This window comes from Homo sapiens, chromosome 3 (assembly GCF_000001405.40).
Source record: "Homo sapiens chromosome 3, GRCh38.p14 Primary Assembly".
Lineage (NCBI taxonomy): Eukaryota > Metazoa > Chordata > Mammalia > Primates > Hominidae > Homo > Homo sapiens.
This window is the reverse complement of record NC_000003.12, coordinates 70,555,908-70,565,816: the sequence shown is the minus strand read 5'-3', so window position 1 is coordinate 70,565,816 and position 9,909 is coordinate 70,555,908.

Sequence of the window (9,909 nt, the reverse complement as noted above, 5' to 3'; positions counted from 1 at the left end):
ATGGAAGCCCCGTGTCCCTTCCTCCACACTTCAACCTATGTATCTCTTCATTGGTATCCTTTGTAAATCCTTTACCACAAACTGGTCATTGTAAATGGCTGACTAGAGATGCCAGATATCAGTTCTCCTCAGAAAGAAGATCCAAAGTTACAGGCGAATGATCATGGTCCAAGTGGAAAGCTGATAGAAGATGGTTTGTACCTGTGAGAGAACCCATGGGAAAAGGCTTGGACACAGAAAAAGAAGGCAGCAAGAGTCTGGCAGAGATTGACCCGGAGGAACTTGGAGTCCCGTGGAAAAGGTAGGTGGGGTGTTTCTTTGCTCCTTCACCTCTGCAACATATTACTGACTGCTGAATTGTCAGAGGACTTCTCTGCACTCAGGTGGACTGCTGTCCACAGCAATTTGGGGACTTCTGGAGGGGAGAGCACAAGATGGCCAGCTCATGGAAGTTCTTTCATTCTCCCCTCAAATCTGAACTAGGGTGATGGGTGAGATACTGGTTGTGCACCTGTCGTTGGCCACTATCCTGCCCAGGGAATCTTAGCCCTTGTGTCTCTGTATCACTAGATGCCCTGCAAACATTGATCAGAACCCACCCTGACTGTGGGACCCTGAGGAACTGTAGGATCCCTGGAGATCTAGCCCTTAGCATGGGCTGCCCCTAGAGCAAGGGGAATTACAGCTCACCAAAGCACTCCTTGGGACGAAGGAAACTGGATCACATACTCTCCCCTGCTCAAGAGCATGCTGTTTATGACCAGCAGATGACTTAGTTAACCTGGGAGCAGCATAGATGCAGGTGCATTGCTGATCTCTGAAGTGGTGAGTATCGTTTCACTTCAGTGAAGAGGTGGCACTGGCAGCCAGGAACAGACCTGTAGAGAGGGTCTTCTGCCCTCATCCACTGCTGCAGAAGCAACTGTGGCTTTTCCTGCTGCAGGTTGGCACAGGTGCCCTAGGAGACAGCCTTTCCAGCGCTATTTGGGGCAGCTGCACCCCAATTAACATGAGCTTACCAGCACAGGCTTGCATGAAGGGTGGGGCTCATCTCCCCCTCCCTATGCAGACTAGCAGTGTTCCTGCAGTACGGTAGGAACCAGCCTTAGGGCTGTCTGTTTGGGGCTTAGAAGAGGTTCCACCCCAAGGGTTTTTAGGCCGGAGACAGCCATTTTCTGTGGACTCTAGTTGCATTACAGCCTAGAGATAAAGGACAGTGTCTGTCTGAACTAAAGGTCATGATCCCTGGGACAGGGGGGTGATATGGAAGTGGAACATGTTCCTGCCTACCCAGAACAAAGGGCCACTGCAACCCCCTCCCTGGTCTCCTCGTCCTCTGTGGAGACCTCAGCACATTCTATGTTGAGCTCCTGCTGCCACCTTCATTAGGGCAGGTGCTTCCTTCGTCGTCAGATATCTAAGAATCAGTCAGCTCTTACTTGTAAATGCTATCTATTGTATTGGAGAATAAACTGCGTGACCAAATAAAAAAAAACCTACTGACAGAAGGGCATAATGCTAGGGAATGAGATAAGCTTCCTGAGACCTCCTCACTCCTAGCCTCTCAGAAGATAGTGAGTTGGCTCATATGCCTGACATATTGCTACAATAATCAGTATTTGAGAAGTCATTGCACAAAAACCATCTATAATCAAGGAAGTTATACAGAGCCTTGGACACCTGAAAGCACCCAGAATCAAAGCCAAATGATTATACACAACATACATTACAGTCATACCCTCGAGGGAAAAGGACTAAATAATTAAAAGTTCCCATTCAAACTAAGCAAACTCAAAAATAAGAAGTGACATCTCTCTCAGATGAGAAGGATACAATGTAAGAACTCTGGCAGTACAAAAAATATTTCAACACTGCAAACAGATCACTCTAGCTCTCCAGCAATGGATCCTAACCAAACTGAAAATTCTGAAATGTAGAGAATTCAAAATATGGATTGCAAGGAAGCTCAATGAGACCCAAGAGAAAGTTGAAAGCCAACACAAAGAAATCAGAAAAACAATTCAGGATATGAATGAAAACTTACTAAAAAGATTAATTAAAAAAACCAAATAGAACTCCTGGAGATGAAAAATTCATGGAAGGAATTATAAAACATAGCTGAAATTTTTATCAATAGACTAGACCAAGCAGAAGAAAGAATCTCCAAGTTGAAGACAAGTCCTTTGAATTAACCTAGTCAGGCAAAAATAAAGAAAAAGGAATTTATAAAATATGAACACAGCCTTCAAGAAATGTAGCATTATGTAAAGCAACCAAGCCTATGAGATATAGGCATTATGAGGGACAAGAAGAAAAAGTAAAAAGCTGGATTTGAGACCAAATGACCTACTAGACATTTACAAAACAGTCTACTTAGCAACTTCAGGATTTACATTTTTCTCATCTACACATGGAACATTCTGCAAAATAGACCATATGCTTGTCCATAAAGCAAGGTACAATATATTACAAAAATGAAATCATACCAGGTATCTTCTCAGACCACAGTGGAATAAAATTAGAAATCAACATCAAGAAGAATACTCAAAACTATACAAAACATGGAGACTAAACAACTTGCTCCTGAATTATTTTTGGGAAAATGCTGAAATTAAGGCAGATATAAAAAAAAATTGAAACAAATGAAAATAGAGACAAAACATATCAAAACCTCTGGGATACAGCAAAATTAGTGCTAAGTGGAATGTTTACAACATTAAATGCCTACCTAAAGAGACAGAAGGAACTCAAATTAGCAACCTACTGTCACACCTCAAGGAGCTAGAAAAACAAGAACAAATGAAAACCAAAGCTAACTGAAGAAATTTAAAAAAAGATTAGAGAAATTGAGATCAAAATTTATACAAAGTATTAAGTAAACGAAAGGTTACTTCTTTGAAAAGATAAACAAAATTGATAGAATTCAAGCTAGACTAACCAAGATAAAAGAAAGAAAATTCAAATAAACACAATCAGAAATGATAAAGATAACATTACAACTGATACCACAGAAATACGAAAGATAATTACAGACTACAATGAACATCTGTATATGCACAAACTAGAAAACCTAGAGGAAATGGATAAATTCTTGGAAATATACAATCTTCTAAGACTGAGCCAGGAAAAAATAGAAATCCTGAACATACCAATAATGAAGAATGAAATTGAATCAGTAGTAAAAACAGATACCCCCCAAAATCCATGGGCCAGATGAATTCACAGACAAATTTTACCAGACCACAAAGAAAAGCTGGTATCAATCTTACTGAAACTACTCCAAAAAATTCAGGAGGGGAATTCCTCCCTAACTCAGTCTATGAAACCAGTATTACCCTGATACCAAAATCAGGCAAGAACATAGCAAAAAAGATGATGGGTCAATATCCTTCATGAACTTAGATGCAAAAGTCCTCAAAAAAATACTACCAAACAAAGTCCAACAGCATATCAAAAGATGCTACATCATGATCAAGTGGGTTTTGTTACAGGGATGCAGGATAGTTTAACATATGCAGATCAATAAATATGATTCGCCACATAAACAGAGTTAAAACAAAAGCCATATGATCATCTCAATAGATGAAGAAAAAGCATTCGATAAAATCCAATGCCTCCTTATAATAAAACCCTTAACAAACCATGCTGCTAAGGAACATACCTCAAATTATAAAAGCCACCTATGACAAATCCACAGCCAAGATTCTACTGAATAGGGAAAACGTGAAAGCATTCTCCCTAAGAACTGGAATAAGACAAGGTTGTCTGCTTTCACCACTGTTATTCAACATAGCGTTGGAAGTCTTAGAGCAAGTTAGGCAAGAGAAAGAAATAAAAGTCAACATGCTCAACATCACTAATCATCAGAGAAGTGCAAATCAAAACCACAATGAGATACCGTTTCATACTAGTCAGAAAGGCTATTATTAAAAAGTCAAAAAAAAAAAAAAAAAAGAGAGAGAGAGAGAGAGATGCCAGTGAGGATGTGGAGGAAAGGGAATGCTTATACACTGTTGGTGGGAAGGTAAATTAGTACAACCTTTATGGAAAACTCTATGGAAATTTCTCAAAGAATTAAAAATGGAAGTACCATTCAACCCTGAAATCTCACTACTGGATATCTATCTAAAAGAGTATAAATTGTTATGTTAAAAAGACCCCTGCATTTGTATGTTTATTGCAGCACTATTCACAATAGCAAAGTATACAACTGACCTAAGTATCCATCAATGGATGATTGGATAAAAAAAATGTGGTATGTATACAACATGGGATACAATACCGCCATAAAAAAACAATAAAATAATGTCTTTTGCAGCAGCATGGATGGAGTTGGAGGCCATTATCCTAAGTGCAATAACTCAGAAACAGAAAATCAAATACCACATGTTTTCACGTGTGGGTGGGAGTGAAACAATACCACATGAACATACAGAGGGAAATAACAGACAGTGGGGACTGTAAAACTGGGGAGGGTAGGAGGGTAGTGAGAGTTGAAACATCACCCAATCAACATTGGGTATAATGTTCAGTATTTGGGTGATGGGCACGCTAGAAGCCCAAACATTACCATTATGCAATATATCCGTGTAACCAACGTGCACATGTATTCCCTAAGTCTATTTAAAAAAATACAAAAATTTGCAGATTTTTTGCCAGCTAAAATTATTGGAGTAACTGATTTAAATATTTGAATATATTTATAAATAACAAGAGAGACAATGAAATAATATCTAAATGTTATTGGAATAGATAATTATTGAATGCAAATACCTCACAAAACAATACTATTAGAGTTTATGAATCAATATATTTTCAAATAAATTTAGCTGGTACTAATTTGAATACACAACCCACTTACTTGTGAGACCCTGAGTAACTAAAATAACCCCTCTGGGTTTCCCTTCTATCATCCATAAACAGCAGTAATAATACCTATCACTAGATCAAGAGTAGGCAAATCACTACTGATAGGCCAAAAGTGGCTTGCTGCTTATTTGGGTAAATAAAGTTTTATTGGAATACAACCTTGCCCATTAATTTGTAAATTATAAGGATGCAATGGCAGAGTTAAGTAGTTTGTACAGGGACCTTAAGTCTAATAAAATCTCAAATATTTACTGTCTATCCCTCTACAGACAAAGTTTGCTGACCTGTGCCTAGATTACTATGACTAAGTGTGACGGAGCTTCCCAAAGCATGTAGTCTGGTGATCACATGTTTATCAATATATATTAAATTTATTTTGCTACACTCAGAACACATTCAGGGCTCTAAGAACACACACTTTTTGGGTAAAAAGAAATAGCCTACAAATTCAAGATCAAGGAAATGGTTTTTATGCATTTAATATACTCTTGAAATCTTCATGGGTTTTCAGTTAATCCATTAAATGTAACAGTATGTTCATAACTTAATTTGTATATTTTAGCCATTTACATTAATGCAAGTAATTGGCAGGTACCACATTAACACACAAAGATGGTTAATGCCACACATAGAAAAAAGCATATTCAGTTCTTTATTATTTATTCTAAATAATATAATGCACAAATCATAGAATTGAAGGGCCTGAAAAGACGTGTAAAGGTGGAGTCATTCATTCCTCGGTGTCAGGGCAGCACTTCAGATCAATTATCCTACAAAAATTGTTGTATTTGATTCATTAAAACCACCAGATACTGGTATTCCACTGAATCTTATGGTAATATGCACCAGGGTCTCACAATTCTTTTACAGGGGCATTTTCCCTAAATGTAGCCCTGATTTTTCCTGCTGCTAGGCCCTTTCATCCTGTTCTCAAAGGTTCAACCTGGTCCACCCGAGTGTGTGCATTGCATAAAGTCACTGAAATGCACTGGTTCTTTCCCTTCCTCCATGTGAAGGAGATCTACGGCCAAGCGGTCACCTGGGCCTTGAAGATCACGCCCCTAAGCCTGGGCCACATCTGAGCAGTGAGAAGGTTAAAGCTCTTTTTGGTAGACCGTGCTCAAGAGGTGAGGCAGTAAGGCTTCTGGGACAAAATAAAATATTTTCCTCTGCCTTGCATGCATGGGCCATTGCTGTTTTTCTAACTATAAAGCAAGAAGGTTGTCATTGTTACAGTATTATTAAATATATAAACAATGTCGCCTTCTACATTGGAAGACAGTCATCTCAGAATGTTCTGTGACCTTTGTTTTAATAATTGAAATGCATTTTCTTAATCCTATATCCTTGATAGGGAGAAAAACTCCAGTATGTCATGACAGTAAAATGTTTAAAATGTTGAAAAAAAAATTAACCACTTCAGGATGAAAGAGGGTCGTTTAACAGCTCTATCAAATAATAATTCTGCTTTTCTGAAAACACTTTCTGAGAGCATCAGCCTACCTAAAAGTATAGTCAAATGTATTTCAATGAAAATGTAGTTAACAGCAAAATAATGTATGTGAAGATATGTTTAATATTGAATTTCTCTACCTTCCCAGGAAAAAAAAAGCATAGATTTATTATTCAAGAGTTCTCTTCATTTGAACAATGACTTAAAATACAGGGCTTGGGGACTTACCTCCCATTCCTCGTTAAGCCCTTTCTCCATGCTTCTGTGATTACACAGGCTGTATCACATCCTCCTCACAGATGGACTGTTTCTGTGGCTTAGTTGCCATCGGTCAACAGACTTGGTGACAAGGGGGCTACCCAAAGAATTTACAGTTAAAGATGTACCTCTATGTATAGGCAGAAGAGGAAGTAAAGGTTTCTAGGTAGCAAGAGAGCTGTTGAAGAGAAGAACCAGTGGCATAATTTGATAAGAATGGTTTTTACAAACCCAAGATATATCCATTCACCTCTATCAAGGGACTTTAAAAATAGACAGTGGTGAAAGAAGCAAACCATTTGAGACATATTGACTGACATTAAAAACATCAGCAAAAATTGGAATGTTCCTTGGTAACTATGTCATATAAGGTAAATAACATTTTATCAGTATCTATTTGCAGATATAAGATTGCTACTACATTTCTAGAAATGTACATGAGAGTTAAAACAAATATTTCTCTGATAATTTTAAGCCATACTTGACTCCTGTTTAAAAACTGTAGTATTTGTAGGTCTAGCCAGTTGATAGCTCATACAAATGATAATGTTTAAGTCACTGATCTAATGTGTAGTTATTACCCAAAATGGGTCAGATAGTTTTTATACCTGAGCCATATGCTTTATTTACTGTCACAAGTAGCTTTGCAGAAATAGATTAAAATAGCTCCATTTTAATCCAGATAGAATTTTGAAATTTATGTATTCTCTTTAAAATTTTTTTCCAATTTTAAAATACCACCACCATTTGTGCCATTTTTTTTTAAAAAGTGTCTAGGATGACTTCTTAGGTTGGATGAATTCAAATTTCAAATTTGATTAATCAAATATGTTATATGCTTATATGCGAAAGGCTACTGATTTCTAATTTAGTTAGAAATCACATCCTCACCAAAACACCGTGAGAGGCACCTTTAATCATGCTAATTTCAGGCAGGTTCATAATGTCCTGGAGATTTGTATATTTCAAGTTGAATTAATCATCATCTCCCTCCTTCCCCAGCTCCTACCATGTGGTCCCCTCCCCCCATGTCCTTTCTATTCTGTTAATGACACCACCGTCCTCCCAGCCACCCAGGCTCAAAACCTCAGAGTCACTGTTGTGGCATATCTTTTCCTGCAAAATATGTAACAAAATGACAAGCACCCTAATGCTACTTTTGTAATATTTCTTACATCCATTCTTCCTCTTTACCTCACTAATTCATGGACATTTCCTCTTGCTCAGACCAGAGATTGATAGACCTTTATCTGCAGTTCTGAAGCCCAGAAAGATCTGGTAATCCAGTTTTTGTGTTTTAAAAATTGTTTGTGACATGAGCTGACAGGAGGATTTTATAGACACCATTGATAATATGTAGTTTGAATTTATCTGGAGAAATATAGAGGCATTTGACCATAGGGAGCTTCTCCAGAACCCTGTGTTATTCAATATCTGATATATACCTTGTAGCACCTTTCTAAACTTTGGAAAATTCTGAATCCAGAATATATCTGGGCTCAAAAGTTTCAAATGAGGAAATGTGAATATTTGTTATTATAACCTCCTGAAAGAAATTCCACTTACTATTTCTATTTTCATTAATCAATTCTAGACATTTCTATCAAATGAACATTTCTGAATAAATCTACTCAAAACTAGTCTTCAGCAGGTACTTCTACCTCCACATTCTGGCATTTAGGTCCTTTAAATCTGGTCTAGCTTTTTCTACTTGCAGCATACGGATCTAAAAGACATTTGATTTGCATACAGACTAGCTTTGAGAAACAAAGTGTCCAAAATTAAGAGTCACGTCCAAGTTACTTGTATACCCATTGGTTAGTTATTGAGTGCATGGGCACTCAATAATCATTTGTTGGATAAATAAAATAATGATGAATAAATAAAAGAATAAATAAAACTGGCTGAGAAAAGAACAAATAAATGAAAGGATAAAGAGCAAGCATTGATTTGACCAATGATGAAGAGTAATTTAAACTGACAGAAATTTTAGTTCACACTTCTATGTTGAACACTGGTTAGGCTTTGTTAAGAGTCAACTTTGTACTCAAGAGGGACATTGAAATTTTGAAAAGATCTAGAGAAGAGACAACTAAATGATTAAGGGATATTATTAGAAAAATCTAAATAAAAGGCTTTTTTGAGTGAAAGGAAAGAAATGCTGTATGATAGCTGTATGGTAGTCAGCTGTGGTGGTCTTGAAGTATTAATACCAATTGCCTCAGTAACCAGCAATTGAAAGGGAACCGGGCCAGAGGTCACATAAGGCTTGTAATTTGGCACTACCACCAAAAATGTGAAGGGACATTCAGGGTCCACGGTGGGTTTCCTCTCCCAACACTGAAGTAAGTTGGTTTAAACACAATAAGGGGGGATTTACTTTATACTAAACAAAGTAAATACACATGCACTGCAATTGAGGTATTTCTGTGATACCTATTGATAGTTTAAATTATGTTACACTATATTTAGGAAATAAATCAAGAAGAACATCATGAAATGGGTTGAAGAAATGGAAATAACTGTTACATTTGTATTTGATTTTCACTTGGACTACTAAAAGAAAAATATAGATCCCTATCTTCTCAGAATAGTTTAGAATCATTCCAGCTGGGGAGCGGGCAAAGAAATTCAAGAGCATTTTGCATAGCTTCTTCGTGATGTAGAATTCTGAAGAACTATAATCAAAGAGCATTAGAAGAAATAATAATAATAATAATAAAGCAAGCTACTGGTGATGGAAATAGAAGTAGCAGAGGGGTTTGTGATCCTTTTGACAATTCATAAGGAAAGCTTCATCTGTCATAACCTTAAGCACAGTAGAATATCTACGAATACTCCAATAACAGTGGCTTATATTTGAATCACCTAGTCAGCAGCTCTGGTAGTATCAATATGACATATATGAATGGACCTACTCAACCTGCATTCCAATCATTCACTTCACTTATAACCCAGGACTTTAATGACTGCCAAGCTTCAACATTCTCTTGCATGCACTCATCTCAGACATGCGCTTCTGACAGCTTCTTCAAACAAAAGGAATATGACTAAACTCCCAAAGCAGGACGAAGGGAGTTCTATGCTGAAAAGCAAGCCAAATTTACAATTTAAAAATAAATTCTGGCAATGTTCAATGAATTATATATTGTATACTATGAGAATTACATTATTATTGCCATAATAATATATGGCAGTTATTAGAATTACAGCAATAACACATGCAACTGTTAATGGACTTATAATGTAGCATGCCATTGGGAAATAAAAACTAACTATATTTTTTTCATTATCAAACAAATGTTGCTATAATCTATATAGTAATTTGA